Source organism: Homo sapiens, chromosome 1 (genome assembly GCF_000001405.40).
Source record: "Homo sapiens chromosome 1, GRCh38.p14 Primary Assembly".
NCBI lineage: Eukaryota > Metazoa > Chordata > Mammalia > Primates > Hominidae > Homo > Homo sapiens.
The window spans coordinates 160341547-160360031 of record NC_000001.11 but is presented as its reverse complement, the minus strand read 5'-3'; the positions used below and the strand labels follow the sequence as shown (position 1 = coordinate 160360031).

Sequence of the window (18485 nt, the reverse complement as noted above, 5' to 3'; positions counted from 1 at the left end):
AGCCGCTGCCCACGATTATTTAGCAGTGCTGCTATACTCCAGAATTTTGCCTCCGTGAAGACCCAGGGAATTTGAGGATCTCTACAGAGGTGATGTTCTTTTTCTAAAACAGTCCAAACTTGTTTTGGCCTACAAAAGGCCCACCATTAACAGAAACCCAAACTCCTTAGCAGCATGCCAGCCAAGAACTTCGGGATTTAGCCCAACCTCGCCTCCTGCTGATGCTTATGGCTCAGACACACTGAACTTACCATCTCCCAAACATGACTCACTCCTTTTCTTGACTCTGTGCTTCCACAACTGGTGAACGCTTTAAATCATCACTTGAATGTCACCCCTGACATGGTCCTGAGTTTCACTATGTGCTACCAGAGCACTTGGGATATGCTGCAATTATTCCTTTTATTACACTGGATTACATGTAGTTGTGAGAATGTCTGTCTCTCTTCTCATCCCAGCTGAGCTACTCGAGGGTTAGGGTTATATTCTCTTCATCTCTGTACCCCAGCCAGTGTCTCAGAGTGAATAAAGAAATGCCTGTTCATGGCCGGGCGCGGTGGCTCACGCCTGTAATCCCAGCACTTTGGGAGGTCGAGGTGGGTGGATCACAAGGTCAGGAGGTCACGACCATCCTGGCTAACATGGTGAAACTCCGTCTCTACTAAAAATACAAAAAAAATTAGCTGGGCGTGGTGGTGGGTGCCTGTAGTCCCAGCTACTTGGGAAGCTGAGGCAAGAGAATGGCGTGAACCCGGGAGGTGGAGCTTGCAGTGAGCCGAGATCGCGCCACTGCACTCCAGCCTGGGTGACAGAGCAAGACTCCATCTCAAAAAAAAAAAAAAAAAAAAAAAAAAAAAAAAATGCCCGTTCATTACAAAGTGAGAAGAAACTATGTTAACATTGTTCTTACAAGAGGAGAACCAGGGCTCTGCAATTTGAAAGGACTTCAACTGTTTTTGACAGAGCCTTACTCCTTGGGTCCTCTGGAGCCCAAGATGATAGCATAAAAGATAACTTCATGACTTCCAGTCTAGGCTCGCTGAACAAGGTGGCCTGGGAAGAATAACTAGCAGTACAAGTCGTGTGGGATAATCTATTTTAATGAAACTCATTATATATATATTTACAAAAAGAATAAAGGAAAAAGACAAAAACAAAAATAGATATTACAGCTTAATAAAAAGTACAACTGAGCACTGTGGGCTGGAGGTGGGATACCCACCCGCAGCACGCCCACCCTAATGTGCCATCTGAGGGCCTGGAGAAAGGACAGTGGGAAGGAGACAGTAGGCTCAGCCCAGAGATGCCCCTGTCCTCAGGGGCTCAATGTAGTTTGACCCTGACATTAAACCTTTTATGTCCTTCCCAGTCAGGAAGGTGGCTGGGTACAGGGGTGGGGGTGAGGAGCAGAGAGAGGTACAGGGCAGGAAGGAAAAAGTAGAAGGGTCCTGAAGGGCAAATTAGGGTGGGTAACTAGGGAGTTAAACAGGAGCAAGAAGCTTCTATTTGTAATCCCAAAATCTGGCATGAGTAGAGAAGGAAGAGGAAATGGGGAAGGGGTGATGGGAAAGGGGAGCGGAGGAAGGGAGGCAATTTATTTATTTCTCCCTGTCTCTTTTGGATAGTTCCACTCTTTTATGTTAATCCCAATCTGAGACAGGCCCAGGGAGGTTCCAGTGACAAATTAGTGGTTGTGTCCCAGTGGGACAGATGCTCTAGGAAGTGAACTGCTGAGCTGGCAAGAAAAGCTGGGGTCCTCCTCAGTATGACACAGCTCCTGGCTCCCGGGGAGCAATGAAAAGGACATCAGCTTTGGCATTGATGCAGTAGGTGACGATGAGGGAGAAGATGAGGATGCCGAAGCCCACTGTCAGGGTGATCAACTGCAGGGGGAGGGAGGGCAGGAAAGGACAAAGGCATTCTCAGAACTCAGTGCAGTTTTTTGGATAACTGTTTGGGGTTTGGAGCCATGGGAATTCGGATGCTGGCTCTAAGCACCAACTATGGAATAATCATGGGCAACATCTCTCCAGCCTACAGACTTTGTCTCCCCATTTGAAAAGAGAAGTAAAGCATCTCTGTTCTTGCTTCCATCTTGTATTACTTAGATTTTAGGCATTTTGAAAGGAGGGCCCATGGCTTTGGTTCCCTTGCGGCACTTACATTACTGACTTGTGACAGGAGCTCGGTACATTAGACTGACTCATCCCAGCTGTGCCAGATGGGGAATGCCAGCCGGGAGTTGAAGCTGTGAAAGAGTTCTGGGATCCACAGGGGCTCTCCAGAATGAACACCTACTCAAACTATCTGTGAAGAAAGGCCTCCTGGCCGGGTGCAGTGGCTCACGCCTATAATCCCAGCACTTTGGGAGGCCAAGAAAGGTGGATCACCTGAGGTCAGGAGTTTAAGACTAGCCTGACCAACATGGTGAAACCCATCTCTACTAAAAATAAAAAAAAATTAGCTGGGTGTGGTGACACATGCCTGTAATCCCAGCTACTCGAAAGGCTGAGGCAGGAGAACTGCTTAAACCCAAGGGACGGAGGTTGCAGTAAGCTGAGATTGTGCCATTGCACTCCAGCTTGAGCAACAAGAATGAAACTCCATCTCAAAAAAAAGGCCTCCTAAGGGAACATGCTGGCTGACCAGGGACAGATTTGCAGTAGGCTTTTGCTACAAATGTGGGGCAAATGGGAGATGGAAAGGGCTATATGACACAAGAAAGCAGAGAAAGAAGTCAAACAGATCCCTGCCACCTATGCCCCTGCCCCATCTCACCTCAAGCTCTTTGCTGGCGATGAGAAATATCCGGGCACGGATATCTTTCCAGCGGCTCTCAGTCCATGTAGAGTATTCAGTAGAGCTCCACTGACTCAGTTCAAAGGCAGGAGACAAGGCCCTGGCTAATCGTGCAGTAGAACGCACACACCGGGGGAGTCGGTCCGTCTCATTAGAATGCAAAGGGCCCTGGACCCATGAGTACTCATACAGCTGCACAGAAGATGCGCCACAACACACGGCTAGGGTGATCCTCTTCTCACTCGTTCCCTCTACCCTCTATCAGTGCCATGCTCTAACCAATTGAGCTAACTGGCTGCTGTCCCTTTACCCTTCAGATGGTCCATTTTCACCCAGGCTTTTCAACACCCAATTGCTGAGGACTGCATCTCTCCACCTCTCCATCCCAATCCCCTGGGTCTAACTAGGTCTAGAAGAACCTCCAACTTTCCCAAGGGAAAGGGGCCCCAGGGCACTTCCAACACCCACCACCACTCACATCCTTGTTTTCACTTGGGACTTTACTTGGATCCTGGCACTGCTCTCGGGTGAGGTTGACCACTGTGCCAGTCAAATTTGCCAAGGCATACTGTACAACATAAGTGGTGTTGGTGGGGCTGGAGACAGCGATGTAATGTTGAAGAGGCCCGTCACCTGAGTGCAGACCAAAGGGAAGGGAAGATTTGGTGGGTGGATGGTGGGTGAAATAGGAAAAGCCCAAGATTGGCAGCAGCCAGAAAGAAGGGCAATGGAAAAGGATCCATCAAATATGAGAAGAAAGAAAGGAAAACAGGGGGTAAGAAAAACAGAGAGGAAAAAGAAAAAAAATAATAAAGGTTAAACCAAAAGACTTTTTCTCTATCCCTTTCCTCAGCTAAGGGTCCCATTCCCACACCAGATGCTTACCCAAGTAGGACCTTAGGTCCTGCCTGAGGATAGACTGGAACCATGAGTTGTTGGCTTTAATCAGGAACCCATAGAGCAGGCGGGTAACCTAGGATTGGAACAGTAAAGAGAGAAAACCCTGTGACTTGAAGGGAGCCCAGGGAAAGAATTATCAGTGGAGACCCAGTCATGGGGCAGGAACCAGACTGGCCAGATAGACTGGAGTTGGGAGACAGTAGCTGGCTCATAAGATGCAGATGAGGCCCACCCAAGAGCTCTCTGGGGCATGAGGCATTCTCACCGGCATCAACAGTCATGTGGAATTCCAAGGTTTGGGACACTAGGGCAAGGGAGGATAGGGACAGCTTGCTGTGTAAATAGAAAGAAGGAGCTAGGGCCCATCTGCTTACCGTTTGGGGATCAGCCTGAACTGTGTCGCTGAAGTTGGTTCCTCCTGCAAGCTCATACAGAGCACGTCCCAGCACCGTGGCCACATCTGCCAGGGCCTGTGGTAGGTGAGGAGGGGGCTGAATGGCCCACCTCTCCTATCCTCAAATGCTAGCATCTTCACTGTGTGCCCCAGGCTCCCACCCAGCCTGGCTCAGTGCTACCTTGGCAGTGTCTGTTACAAAGTTCAGGTCCTCTTCAGGGCTCAGCCATTCGGGATAGCTCACATTAATGTTCTCAGCAGTGTCGTAAATACTCTGGTAATATCTGCCAGGAAAGCCGGCATGAGCCTTGGCTACATTTAGCCAGGGCTCTGCCCCTTTCCTCCCTCAAATGCTCCTTATGCAGGGACTCAGTATCTCATTTTCAGCATCAGAAGAAAGGGGTGAGAGACAATCAGGATCCCATATTGCAGAAGGTGTGGAGAACAGGGAGGTAGGAGTGAGGGTGAGGTGGTTAGTGAAAATTAAAGACTTTCCTGACAGACAAGGTAGAAAAGCTGAATGAGCTCAGATCTTTAAACAAAGGAGAGACTCTTCTACATCATTTGGGCTGGAGATATGGGGGATGGCTAAGATGATTTTCAGAGAACTCTGCCATGTATCATGAGATCAGTTGTATAACTGTTCCAATGAACATTTATATTTAGGGTAGCTGGGAGCAGGAGGTGATTAGCAGGTCTTAGGATCAGGTCTGCTCACTGATATATAAGAATACACTGATAAAATCACCATGATGATCCTTATGGAGCCCCAAGGAGATAGATCTTAAAAGAGAGGCTGAGCTCCACAGTCTTTACCATCAGTAAATCCCTGTCCCACACAAAGTCAAGTCAGCTACATAATCAAATCCAAAATGTGTTCAAATGATGAATCTTCACTTGCCCCAAAGTGGTACAAGGATAGCTTTAGAGAAGACAGCTGACCCTAAGTGCTAGGACGGTCACTCCCCTAAATGAATGAGAAGGTGCTACTTGGCTGGGGTCAGAAATAGAGCTCAAGCATTTTCACTACGAAACTCATTTGGCCCTCGGGAAGCTTGGCAATCCAGCCTGAGTAAGAAGTCCCCTGTTATCCAAGGCCTCAAGTTAGGAGCAGTTAAAGGGTAACCCAGAGTTACCCTTTGTATCTCTGGAGCCCCATCAGCTATAGGAGGCACTTTTACCCTCGCACTGAACCATGGCCATCTACCACATGGCAAGAACATGGTACATTTCACAGAGTATGAATACTGTTTCTGGCACCTCTGGGTGAGTTCCAGAGAAGGACTGCTTTCTGTCTTCTAGCCAAAGGGCCCCCACCATCCTTCCCATGCTTGTGTTTGAGATGATGCCCTCTGCTGGCAACCCTGAGGAACTCAGGACCCTGGAGAGCTAGGGAGCAGTGGAACCATAACCAAGGATTGTTGACAGTAAAGGGCTAAGGGTGAGGATGAGTTTCTAAGATGAATATCCAGTCAAACAAATAAGGGTTTCAGTTCAGATGTGAAAACGCCACTGAGCAAAGAATACAGATGGACCTGAAGTTCTGGAGGGGGTAGTGTGGGAAAGCGGAGGGCAGTGACCTTCCTCCCAGACTGCAGAATAGACTCTCTTCAAGAATGAAGAGGGTGCAGGGCCAAGTGATTCTTACTTGTTATGGAAGGCACCAGAGTGGTCAGCCAGAACAACGCCAGAGATGTTTCGAGCTCGAAGAAATCGCTGCAGGGAAGATGGTGGGAGAGGCTGGGACTGATTTGGCCTCCTGAGGATGACAGCAGGGACACCAGCACCACTCTTCTCCAATGTGGCCAGGAGATCCTCCACCTGGGGGGTACGAGGGAGATTAACTGATGGGAGGCTGGGGGATGGGAAGCAGGAGGTCTCTTTTAGGCCTGAAATGCTCTATACTTCAAGTTCCCTGCTTGGGGAGCTACCCTATCTCTAGTAGACCTTTATCCCTCAAGCCTTTTGGGACCAAGGCTCTCTGAATTTCCTGTAGCTTCCACCATTCTTTTTAGAGTTAGAAAATTGGGGCATAAAGAAGAGACCTTTTTTTTCATATTTATAAGTAAATTCTACTGTCTTCAAGACTCTGCTTTATCCTCAGTGGATGCTTCACTTATTATTTATTGTGCAGAATTGAAGGGAGCAAATAATAATAGAAAACTGCGTGCTGAATGCCAAACAGATAACCAATTCTTTAAATGCTACAGGAGTCCAGAGCAGGGATGATGCTGAAGGCTGGAATTGCAGAAAGAGGACCACCTGGAAAAAAGCAGGCCTAAAGGTGGACCTAGAGGGAAGGGAAGGTTTTGAACAAGCAATGAGGAAAGTGGAGGACAAGTTGGGCAGCGAGTGTGACACAGCCAGGACTTGGGTAGAGCAGCCTTGACAATTGGATCCATGGGGCAGCAAGGCAAGAAGGGAGCTAGTCACTCACCTATCCTTAATGGGCAGTGGTAGTCTGCTAGGCAACAAATGATCAGAGAACTACCCAGTCCAGGGAACCAATGGAATGTCACTGAGTTCCTGATTCTTCCCAGCAGCAACAACAGCTGTGGTGTTCATCCTTTGGCCAACACCCAATCCAATCCTGTCTCTTACCCTGTCTCACAGGCCCTGGGGGTTGGTGGAAACAGGGCAGGGGTTGGGGTCTGGATTCTGAGCTGTAGGAATAGGAAATGAGGGGAGATGCTCAGGTTACCTGGTTCCGTACAGACTCATTTTTCTGAGAAACAGGATCTGTGTGCATCCAAAGCTCTAATGAAGTTCTTAAGGCCACCTGGGGGGAGGATGAAGAAACAACACTTAGAATCAGTCTCCTGTTCTGGGCCATGCCTAGGGGATAGAAGTCAAGGGAAGAGGCGGTGGTTCCTGCAGTTAAGACCGCAGAACAACAAAGGAGGAAGATTTAATTAAAAAGGAAGGGGCTGGGGGACATGCCACATACCTGTCCCAGCTCCACAAATGAGTCAACATTCTCTAACTGCACGGGAAACTTGCCCTTCTCCATATCGTAGACCATCCTCGAGCTGCCAATGTAGTCAAAAGTTTCCTGAGAGATGGAGGTAGGTGGGAGGGGGAACAGAGATTCCAAAGGGTTAGGAGAGCCTCGAAGGCGGCCAGATCATCAAAGCTGTAGGTAAGACGACTATCTCAGGTCACCTCAACTGCTAGTCAGCTTACAGTCATGTGACTTTCGGCTTCTCTTGGCCCCACCTCCCAGCTGTGACTATCCCTCATATGTATTACAAGACTTCTGAAGCCCAGAAATGGGGAAAGTAGCCTTAGTAAAGGTCTAAGATGAACATCAGCTATTATGTGTCTGATTCTTAACGGTCCCCCACCTCCAGTGACTCAGCCACAGATGCTGTTCCCTTATTCTGCTGTGGTCCTAGTGATGAGAGTCAGGAGCCTAACGGCTCCTGGATGGAGATAGCAGTAAAGGAGTCCAGAGAATAAAAGTAAAAGGCCGCCTCCAATATATCTTATCAGTGGGGGAAAGAGGGGGCTGGTTACATACCAATTCAGGGTGTAAAAGCTTCCTAAAAAGAAGGAATCTAAGCTTCCTAAAATGGAGGAATCTAAAGGGGAGACACATGTAGACACATCCAGAAGCTCTGTGCTGGTTAACAACTTAGGTCAAGTGCTGAGGTCTTCTCCAACCAGTAGCCACTCTCATCTTTACTATCCTCTTTCTTCCCTGCCATTGCACCCCAGCCAAAGAGCCCTTACCCCTTGAAAGAAGACAAACATGACATTGCGGGGCAGGGTGGTCACATCAGGTGCCTTTTGCAAAGCTTCAGCAGCAGCCAGCTGGGTGACAAAGGAAGCCACTGCGCTTTCAGCCCCTGGGGCCACATTCCAGAAAAAGGAACGACTATCCAGCTAGGTACAACAGAAGAAAAGTCAGGGGATATATACTTTAAAACTGGCCCCAAACCTCCTTTCTTGCTCCAGTCAAGAGAATATACCTGTCCTGTGGCAATGGAGACAACCCAGGAGTCCCACAGCCCAGATTCCTCCCCATTTGAGGCTTCCCAATTTAGCAACTTTGAAATCTGATATGCTAGAGCGGGGCCTACCAGCTCTTTTTGTGCCAGCCCTGCCCATCCTGATCAGAAGCCAACACTCACCCGGGTGGCAGCAACCACAACCCTGTCGTCAGGCTTTAATGTCCCAGTTGTATTTATAGGCTTTAGCATGCTCCACACATTGTAATCAGACAGGGGGTCACAGACGATTTCTAAGCAGGACACAAACAATGAGAGATCAACAAGGCTAAAGGAGAAGGTAGCTATAAAGGCAACATTGGAAATCTCTGACCAGTGCCCCACGGACTCTAAGTCGTTTTCTCTACTTCCAACAGTCCGAGGTTGGCTTCTCTGCCACTATCCACTTTAGGAACAAGCTGCCTAAATTTTTCAGAATTGTTTCTAGTTCTCCCATGCAGAGCTCCTTCATGGTGTCTACTCCTTCCCTATTACAGTCTCTCTAACATTCCCTGGCCTGGTTCCACTCTCCCTCTGCCCCTTATTCCATTACCCTCATGGTTCGGATCTGCCCTACCTGGGTTGATGCTGAAGGTGCTTTGGATGGAGCTGCGCCGCATGCAGGTGGCAGTGCTGATGACAGCATGCATGTGTGAAAAGAGCTGCATGGCACATAGTGGGAAGGTTGGTGCTGAGCCATTCTGACTCAGGTTGTGATCTTGATAGCACTGAAAGGGGAGATGGACCCCACTGAGACAGCTAGTTTGTGGAGGCCCTCCCTTACATCCCAGAAGGAGGAGGGCCCAGTTCCATCCTTTTGGGATGGAGCCACACCCTTTTCGGAGACATTTATCCCTGAGCTATAGTTATCCTAGAACCACCATAGGATCTATAAGGTCAAAGAAAAAAACTCATCAAGAGTTACAAAGGGTTGCAGACTCAGTGGTTTAGCTGGAGATGAAACTATCCCATTCCAGATGGCCTGGCCCAATTTGAAGCTTCAGCCACTGAAAAGATTCAGTGTGGTCTGATACAAAGAGCACCAAACTAGAGATAGGAAATCAGATATGACACAGCTTGGAGATCAACTCACCATACAACTTTGGACAAATCTCTTAACTACTCTATGAGTCAAAATGGAAATACTAGACCAGAATTAAGGCATATTAGAGCTAAAAAGAAGCTCAGAAATTACCAAATTGAATTTCTCAATCTCTAATCCAATGCTTTTTTTTTTAACGATACTAGTGGTTCTTAACCTGGGCTGTGTACCTTGTTTCATATTACTCTTTCAGATATTCTTTATATTTTCTTCTAGTCTAAAAGGCTTTAATGCTGTAATATCAGGTAGGAGCAAAATGTGGGGAAAGAATGTGAGAAGAACTAACGTCTTGGTTCTTTTTGGAGCAACCGTCTTTCAGCAGGTGTACCAGAAGAATGAGCCACCCTCCAAATAGGAGAGCCTATAAAATAATCCTTTTTTTTTTTTTTTTTTTGTGACACAGGGCCTTGCTCTGTCACCCAGGCTGGAGTGCAATGGTGCCATCTCAGCTCACTGAAACCTCTGCCTCCCGGCCTCAAGTGATCCTCCTGTCTCAGCCTCCCGGGTGGCTGGGACTACGTGCACACACCACCACACCTGGCTAGAAAAATAATCTTCTTTCTAACTGGAATTGCTAGGAGCTGGCAGTGTCATTACCTGCTTGATGACTTTGGTTTCATTTTCATCTTCAAGAAGAAAGATGGGGAAACTAAAGTCTTCATAAGCCAAACCATTGCCCAGCGAATTCCACTGTATTTCTCTGCAGTGAGCAAACTCTGGCCCATAGGAATTGGAGTAAACACCTGAAGGGAAGGATGGGGAATAGGGGGACTGGTTACTGGGACACCAAGTACTTAGGAACCAGGTGACGGCAGAAGAATCTTTCAGTTGGGACTAAGAGTTCAAAAGGAGGTGGTGACTCAAAGAAGTAGGCATGAAGTCTATTACCATCCACACTAAAATAGAAAGACAATGGTATCAGGGAGTCTTAGGCTGTAAGATTAGGGATGTGAACACGTGACAAAAAGAGATAATGCCAGGTAAGGCAAAGGAAGGGGAAGCAGGAGAGGGAAGGGATGAGCAGCAAAGACAAATAAACACTACCCCCTGTTTGGGAGTCAGTTACTGACACTACACACAGACACAAACACATATACATCCCTCACAAAGACGTAAGACCGAAGCAACAGTGAGCCTTAGGTGACAGTAGGCTCTCCTGATCCTTTGGGACACTTACCAAACCCATCATTTGGGCACTGTACACTAGGAGAGAAGCCTGAGGCAGGACTGGGCTTGGTCAAGGACACTGCAAGACCAGCAATTCGGCTGGTTCTCCCTTTCAGCTTCTCCATTAAATCCCTGGAATAGGAAAGGAATTCCATGAAGGAACACAGGAAGGTATCAGACAGCCTGACATTCTGCCTGCAGGATGGAAACAAATGGGGAACTAGGGGAATCAAACTGTTGACTTATTTCTTCCCTTTCAGTCTCTAAATTCTGAGTCTGGACAATGATCTGCTCTAAAAAGTAGAGCTTTAGTGAGTAAGGACCCCAGGGAGGGAGGGGAGGGATGCCCAGGGTTACTCAGGGACAGGTAGGTGAAATTTAGCCCTAAGCTCAAGATCATTTCTTTTGATGGTACACCTTTCCTTCTGAGGACCACCCTGCCCTCTCCCCTGACCAGACCAGGGCAGCCAAGGGAAGTTTTCACTAATAAGTGTGAGGACTGTTCACTGAAACTTTCCCTCTATGGATGTTTTCCCAGCAGATACATCTAGTTCTTACCTGGTAAAATGCTTGCTCTCCAGCAGAACCATGTAAGGGGGGTTGGGGCCATCAGTCAATACCCACTGTAGGTCCTCCTCTTTCTCTACTACGTGGATAACCCCTGTGTCTCCACTAATTGAAGCTGCCAGGACAGAATGAGTCAAATTAAAGCTCCCATAGTTAACAATTCTGACTTTGCCTCACTGATTCTGCGTATCTTTTATCCCCTAAAGATGTCACAACATATTTGGGTGAATACAGGCACCTCTAGATTTGAACTGAAAAGCTGTTGCCCCAGCTCCATCTGAAGGTTATCAGGAGGGAATGGAATATAAAAGAGCACAAGAGGACTCATTATATGCCAGAAAGGTTCTGTGAACTTCATTTTTTTGCCCTCTGCCCTCAACCTTATTTAGCCATATACATAAGATTCTACAACAATAGACACCAAAGTTTTCAAACCTATATTTTCTCTAGGAAATGCCACTAAATCTCTAGCTCAGGGTTTTAGCTTTGAATCTTCCTTTGTAAAAACACATGCATACATGCCCTTGGCCTCAGGAGCTTTCCTGGATCGTCATTCCTTTTGCCCTTTTTGGGAATGACTTTACTTGCTTCTGGCCGGTTTTAGATGAGGTTAGTCAAGAACTCTGAGGTTTCTAAAACAGAGCTTCCCAATTGATAAGCCTCGAATGGATCAGAGATGTGCTCTCATTGGTTCTCCTCATTCCAGGAAACCTAGGGTTTCCAAAGTCACCTCCAGCCAGGAGCCTACTTATCATTTACCCCAGGATGCCCTGAAAATATCACCCATTTCTCTATGTGCCAGGATGCTATACAAATAACATTTTCTATGTGTCTCATGACATGATAAAGATTGGGAAGCACTGTATTAGAGGATGGATGACCCAGAGTCCAGAATACTTTGAATTCTACATAATTCAAGGCATTAGGTAATACTCCTTAAGTCCCCAGTGATCTGTGTGGAGATATCCTAGGGTCTCCCTGTGAGTCTTCTCCCTACAGAAAATTGGATATGTTATTCATCAATTATTTTAGACCAGTAGTTCTCAGCCCTGGCTGTATATCAGCATCACTTTAAATGCCCACTCAGCCTCCCAAAGTGCTAGGGTTACAGGAGTGAGCCACCATGCCCGGCCCTTGCCACAGCATTTAAAACATGGGAAAAGGAACAGATAGTGTGGCAACTAAAACATATATAACTTCGGCCGGGCACAGTGGCTCATGCCTGTAATCCCAGTACTTTGGGAGGCCGAAGTGGGTGGGTGGATCACTTGAGGTCAGGAGTTTGAGACCAGCCTGGCCAACATGGCGAAACCCCATCTCTACTAAAAATACAAAAATTAGCCAAGTGTGATGGTGCACACCTGTAATGCTAGCTACTCAGAAGGCTGAGGCAGGAGAATTGCTTGAACCTGGGAGGCGGAGGCTGCAGTGAGCTGAGATTGTGCCACAGCACTCCAGCCTGGGTGACATAGTGAGACTCTGACACACACACACACACACCCCAAAACTTCAACTCCAGCGAGGACAGGAAGACAAACTATGATACTGGACTGAAAAAAACCTGGATTCTAATCTGGGTTCCAACTAGTAATGGTGTAGTCTTAAGTAACTTGCTTATTTTCTCTGCGCCTTCAATGAGGTTTTCTACCTCTATTCATCTCATACTGTGGGGACAGACGAAAGAAGGAAGAAAGGATAGAAGGAGGGAGGGAGGGAAAAGAAACCTATTTAAAGCCCCCTTTGAGAACTTTAAAGCGTCTAAGAGAAGCAGAGTATTATAATCAGAAATCAAATCTGGGTATCACTTTTTTCTCCTTAGTTTTATCATGTTAGCTACACTAATTAAAAAGGGCGGAGCCTGCTCAGAAAAGACAGATATGACGAAGTAAGATTTGGAAATAAGTAGGTTGAAAAGGAACCAAGATCTTAATGAGGAAGTGGCCACAGTCCCGCTTACCCCCTCTTGTTTCTCTGTACTGGCACGTGGCTTTACCTCTAGAGGCTTTGCTTCCTACAGAGCTGTTTTAAGAACATAGAGTAGAATGACTTATTCCCAAAGGAGTTTTCTTAGAGCCTAGTTACAAGAGGTTGGGGTCCTGGCCTTCTGTACTTTATAGTGAGGTTCCAGCAAGACCAGCAGTCTGATCTCAGCCCACCCTGGACCTAGCTCTCTTCTACCTACAAACCAGTTCAGAAACTAAGTCCAGAGGGCTGGGCATGGTGGCTCATGCCTGTAATCCCAGCACTTTGGGAGGCCAAGGCGGGCAGATCACGAGGTCAGGGGTTCGAGACCAGCCTGGCCAACATGGTGAAGCCCCGCCTCTACTAAAGATACAAAAAATTAGCTGGGCACGGTGGCACGCGCCTGTAATCCCAGCTATTCAAGAAGCTGAGACAGGAGAATTGCTTTAACCTGGGAGGAGGAAGTTGCAGTGAGCTGAGATTGTGCCATTGCACTCCAGCCTGGGCGAGAGGGCGAGACTGCATCTCAAAAAAAAAAAAAAGAAACTAAGTACAACAAAAACTTTATTTGGGGCTGTTTGGAACCAGTCAACCTACTCCCAGTGCTTTGTATAGCAGGGACATGGGACAATTAACAGATACTATAGCTCAGGGAAAGATGGCTAAAAAAGTAGTAACTGCTTCCACGAACAAGTCCTTCACTTCTCAGTGTCCCAGTTTTCTCTTATCAAATGGGAAGAAGGCTTCAGGAAATTATACAGCACTTTTGAGACCACCCTATTTACCTAGCGTCATCAATAAACAACTATTAAGAGGTATTTGACTTTCAGCTTTATGCAAGTACTCCAACCATTATTCCAGGGGTAAACTGAAATTCAGAGGTGATCAATTTGATGATGAAGAAGCCAGTATCAGACCCCAAGTTTCCTGCTTATCTGCAAAACTACATTCTGACAGAGCTATTGTCCATGGGAAACAAAATCTGAAGACAGCAGGTTAGCCTTTAGATTACTACTTTTCCTGCCCTATGATTTTGATAGTTTTTAAAGCCACAGTGTCATGGAACCTTCTTTTGGAACACACAAAGTGTGAAAATAAACGGCCTGTCAGTTGAATTTAAGGAAAAAAAGTTTTAAAAAAGGATAAATAGAATGCTTCACTAATTCCTCTTGCAATTATTCAGCATTTTCTTTTTTTTTTTTTTTTTTTTTTTCAGACAGTGTCTCACTCTGTCACCTATACTGGAGTATGGTGGCACAATCTCAGCTCACTGCAACCTCCGCCTCCTGGGCTCAAGGGATTCTTCTGCTTCCGCCTCCCGAGAAGCTAGGACTACAGGCATGCCATAGCAGCCAGCCGGCTAATTTTTGTATTTTTAGTAGAGATGGGGGGGTTTCACCATGCTGGCAGATTGGTCTCAAACTCCTGACCTCAAGTGATCCACCCGCCTTGACCTCCTGAAGTGCTGGGATTACAGGCATGTGCCACTGCGCCCAGCCTATTTGGCATTTTCAGTGCCTTCTCTTCAGATAGTTCATTGCCTTTAGCCCATTTTGGTTCCAAAAAGTTCAGAGTGCAAGTGATAACTGGACACCATAGAATATGAGACTTTTTTCTCCTTAAAAAACAGTATAATAGGGTGGTTAAGAGTGCTGGCTCGGCTGGGTGCGGTGGCTCACGCCTGTAATCCCAGCATTTTGGGAGGCCAAGGTGGGTGGATCACTTGAGGTCAAGAGTTCGAGACCAGCCTGGCCAACATGGTGAAACACCATCTCTACTAAAAATACAAAAATTAGCTGGGCATGGTGGCAGGTGCATGTAATCCCAGCTACTCAAGAGGCTGAGGCAGGAGAATCACTTGAACCTAGAAGGCAGAGGTCACCGTGAGCCGAGATCGTGCCATTGCACTCCAGCCTGGGGGACAAGAGTGAAACTCCGTGTCAAAAAAAAAAGGTCTCTCAGCTTAGTGCTCGGGCCACCAGATCCTGGCATCATCACTTATTACCAGTATGATCTTGGGAAAGTTACTCAACTTCTTTAAGTTTTAGTTTCATCATTTATAAAGTGACAATAACAGTAAGACCTATTTTGTGGGGTTGTGGTTGGGGTTGTATGAGATGCACATGTAAAAAGCTTGGTATGCAGCATTTACTAAATGTTAGTTCTTATTAATTATCTTGCCTAGCTTGACAGACGGTTATCTGTAACTGCCTACATACAGTCCAATATAAGTGTCAAATCTCCTAAGCAGGACATGGATGTTACTTAGTATCTAGGGCACAGACAAATATCAATGTCCACAAACATGAATCCATCTCAACTCACACTGGCAGCCAATCTGATGAGTGGCGTTGAGCAGGCGAACACAGGGAGCTGTTTTATTTAAGGGGATATATATCTTCCTCTCCACTGAGTTTCCCCTGCACAAACCTGATCGGAAGATAAAAAGTGTTAGAAAAATTTGAGAGACACAGGTACTAGCTTCTATCGTGTCATTAACCTGAAGTATGGCTTGGGTAAATCATTTAATATCATACTTTCTAAAATGAGATTAAAGTCCATTCTTCTGATTTCTTGGGCACACACTTATCGTAACAGATACATGTTCTACATGGCACCCAGCTATGTGCCTCAAAGGGTTATTACAAAGTCCATGTAGCGCCATTGACAGTGACACTAAAAGAGAGAAAACTTGGTCAAAGGAAAGGTGTTTGACCTTAGATTTGCCAGATTCTGGTTGCACAGGTGATCACACTTCTGCTTGTATATCCTGTATGTATATTACTAATTGGTTAATACACAGGTGCTGGGCTAAGAAAACTTTCTGAGGCATTTTTCCAAGAGTGTGAACAGAATTGAGAGAAACCTTATGACATACACGGGTCAGTTAATTTAACATCAGCAGGTCATTTGTGTGCCCACAGTGTGGGGCAGCTGTAGTTTCTCCTTTGAGGATCCTTAAAAACAATGTGAATTGGGGGAAGGCACAGTCATAGTTATATACAGGCATTTGCATTTTAGGGCTTGACCAACTAAAAAGCCATGTATCAGTAAATGAACGCGTATCAGCAAACACTTAAGTACATTATAAATGCCAAAAGTTCCTTGAATTGTTACTTCAGGGTCTTCACAGTTAAGAGTACCCATATCCTACCTTATTCTTGCTTTACTGATTAAAAAAAAAAAAAAAAAAAAAACCTGAGGCAAGGCAGGGGGACACAGACTTAGGATGTAATCAACAGAGGAAGAAATAAGAAATCCACCTTTTAAGCGCCGCACAGCACCCACAGAACAAGATTGCTTTCGTCTCAAAAAGTCTAAACGCGAGGAAGAAAGCTAACTTTCACACCTGTTCCTTTCGACTGTGGGGTGGGTGGCTGGGGTTGTGGGAAAAACGAGACATCTGGACAAAGTGGGAGAGGGTCAGGCTCGAAGTCCAGGAAGAGGCCTAGAGAAGGGAGTGAAGCGACACGACGTGCTGCGGGGGAGAAGGGACCTTCAGGTCCAGGCAAAGGGGGAACTTCTGTCGTGGGAACGAAAAAGAAAGAGGATTTACAGGGTGGGGGGACAGAGGGGCAGCAGGAACCAGAAGGGAGACAGTGGCGGTCGCGGCGGGGCCGATCCGAGAGTTCCCCTTAGAGAACGGAGCTCACGGGCGGGGAGGCCTCACCTGCTAGTAGGACGCAGAAAGACAGAAGGCGAAGGAGACCCCGACTTCCCGGGTCAGCCCCAGAGCCACCCCCTGCCGTAGCCATCTTGCCTCTCTGCTGAGCGGAAGCCCCCGTTCGGCTCCTGTCTGTTAGCGGCCTCTCTAGGCTACCACTGACACCGTCTCTGTGGCCCGGAGCCTAAGAGACCGGAAGTTCGTGTTTCCAGGCGCTTCCGGAAACCGCGGGAGAGGGTCGCTGACGTGGAGGCGTCCGAAGGGCAGCAGGGTGTGTCGGGGCTCGGATTAAGACATCGGAGTCGGAGACCTGAGAGATGTTAACCAAATTCGAGACCAAGAGCGCGCGGGTCAAAGGTAGTGGAGAATAAAAGGGGGAACATGGAGGTTGGATGTCAGGAGCGGCGCTGACACCGGGGAAGAGAAAATGGGTAGAGGTGTTGGTCGAAATGGGCCCACCAGACGGACCCGGAGGAAGACGGAGGGTGGGAGAGAGGTTGGGCCTGGCTAGCGGTTCTCCAGTCCCCTCTTCTTTGGTGTGTCCTTGGGCTTCGATTTACCTATAAAGTGGCTCCCACACTGCAGGGGATTCCTTAGACCCCCTCCCTATTCTTTCTTCCCCCTTTCTCTCTTGGCTGTGCTCCCGATTTGTGTTGTTCTGCTCCAAAGGCCCTGTGATCTGTTGGCTTTTTGATGACTGTGTTATATGGAGTGGCCCTGGGAACTGAGTCTCGATCTCTGTTACTCGCACCCGAGTCAGTAGCCTTTTTGGAGACGAGTAGTGGCAACCTCACTTAAGGAGGCCTTGGCTGCAGCATCTCAACATCAGTGCCTCCATTCGGCTTTATTTACTACCCGGAAATAGTACTTGAGGCTTATAACCCCAATAAAGTCTCAACTTGATAGAGTTGCCAGATAAAATGCAGGATACCCAGTTAAATTTGAATTTCAGGTAAACAATGAATAGTTTTTTAGTCTGTCGTTGCTTACCAGAAGTTCAAATTTATCTGGAAATCTCGTATTTTTATTTGCTAAGTACGGCAGCTCTAGAGCTCGAGTGTGGGTCGTTGGGGGTGGAGGGCAAATACTGAGATCGCAGTATTAGCCTCAGAACGTTAGAATGTGAAAGTCAGAGAAGTAAGGTCTCCGAAGACCTGGAAAAAATAGTATCTAGAATATTTAGTGAGATGCAGCGTAACAAAGTGGTTAGGAACTTGGTCTTTGAAGTCAGATGGGCTTGCCTTGGAATCCTGAGACATCCACTAACAAGCTGTGACTTGGATGACTTACTTAATGTCTCTAAGTCTGTATTTCCTCATCTGTAAAATCGTCTTTTATAGAGAGTATTAAAATGAGAAAGTATATGGAGTGTATTTATTACAGCGCCTGGTGTAGACTCAGTAGCTCAAAAACTGGAGGTTGTTATCAATGTGTGAATATATTCTGAGCAGTTTCTAAGTCTCTTGGGAAACTTGACCTTGAAAGATGGGTACCATTAAGAATTTCTGAGACCTGTATAGGTGAAATGTGAAATGGGTCTTCATAATCTTTCAGTTTTCTTTTCTGCTCCTAATTTCTTGCTGGGCAGTACAGAAGGAAAAACAAAGATGTCATAATATTTGAGGGCAAACATCCATTGTTGAGTGTACTTATATATCATAATTAAAAAAAAGAACCTAATGGAAAAATAGACAATTTAGAAGAAAAATTGTAAATGTTCAATAAATAATTAAAATAGTTCCACCTCACTAGTAATGAAAGAAATGCAAGAAAAAAAAAGTTAAGTTACTTTTTTGGGGGGAGGGTCTTAGATTTATAAAACAAAACAACAAATAGCTGATAGCAGCCTGTGTGCAAAATGGGCACCTCCATAAACTTCATGAGACTGTATATTGATACAGTGTTTTTACATTTAAACTATATGTACTAAAATGTTAAGTG

General features: G+C 46.5%; 2 protein-coding genes across 7 annotated transcripts in view, besides 3 other annotated features; one reads left to right on the top strand and one right to left on the bottom strand.

The window, feature by feature from the left end:
- On the bottom strand, positions 1083-16649 carry NCSTN (nicastrin). 5 transcript variants are annotated; one of them, NM_001290184.2, is made up of 18 exons: positions 16551-16649; positions 15418-15556; positions 15206-15310; positions 10910-11033; positions 10362-10483; positions 9782-9927; positions 8660-8810; positions 8227-8336; positions 7826-7978; positions 7041-7145; positions 6795-6872; positions 5742-5914; positions 4275-4377; positions 4074-4169; positions 3685-3772; positions 3278-3432; positions 2779-2991; positions 1083-1883 (listed from the first exon to the last, which is right to left on the bottom strand). In NM_001290184.2, the coding sequence occupies exons 2-18, from the start codon at positions 15440-15442 to the stop codon at positions 1761-1763; spliced, it is 2070 nt and encodes a 689-aa protein (NP_001277113.1). In that variant the 5' UTR covers positions 15443-15556; positions 16551-16649; the 3' UTR covers positions 1083-1760. The 5 variants fall into 5 exon arrangements, with proteins under 5 accessions (NP_001277113.1, NP_056146.1, NP_001336658.1 ...); NM_015331.3 differs by lacking the exon at positions 15418-15556; NM_001349729.2 differs by lacking the exons at positions 2779-2991; positions 15418-15556.
- Positions 13165-13214: an enhancer, noted in NCBI's record as "active region_1920". NCBI's record gives its function as "activates an Ori minimal core promoter by ATAC-STARR-seq in GM12878 lymphoblastoid cells {active_cell/tissue: GM12878}" and the evidence as "EXISTENCE:reporter gene assay evidence [ECO:0000049][PMID:35858748]".
- Positions 15902-16849: an enhancer, noted in NCBI's record as "H3K27ac hESC enhancer chr1:160312973-160313920 (GRCh37/hg19 assembly coordinates)". NCBI's record gives its function as "activates a minimal SCP1, AML or CMV promoter by ChIP-STARR-seq in primed H9 embryonic stem cells {active_cell/tissue: H9 hESC(primed)}" and the evidence as "EXISTENCE:reporter gene assay evidence [ECO:0000049][PMID:30033119]".
- Positions 16580-16629: an enhancer, noted in NCBI's record as "active region_1919". NCBI's record gives its function as "activates an Ori minimal core promoter by ATAC-STARR-seq in GM12878 lymphoblastoid cells {active_cell/tissue: GM12878}" and the evidence as "EXISTENCE:reporter gene assay evidence [ECO:0000049][PMID:35858748]".
- The window catches only part of COPA (coat protein complex I subunit alpha), a 54657-nt gene continuing 52953 nt past the window's right edge, over positions 16782-18485 (top strand). For both annotated transcript variants that reach the window (NM_004371.4, NM_001098398.2), the window contains exon 1: positions 16782-16901. In NM_004371.4, coding sequence (NP_004362.2) covers positions 16862-16901 — 40 coding nt within the window. In that variant the 5' untranslated portion in view covers positions 16782-16861. The remainder of the gene's footprint in view (positions 16902-18485) is intronic.

Excerpts from the sequence above, each read along its gene's own strand:
- NCSTN (NM_015331.3), bottom strand. The coding sequence starts at position 16,635 with ATGGCTACGGCAGGGGGTGGCTCTGGGGCTGACCCGGGAAGTCGGGGT. Across the intron at positions 11,034-15,205 it reads TCATCAGATTGGCTGCCAGT|CTTCAATTAGTGGAGACACA; the intron begins GTGAGTTGAGAT and ends CTGTCCTGGCAG. Across the intron at positions 10,484-10,909 it reads GAGAGCAAGCATTTTACCAG|GGATTTAATGGAGAAGCTGA; the intron begins GTAAGAACTAGA and ends TTCCTATTCCAG.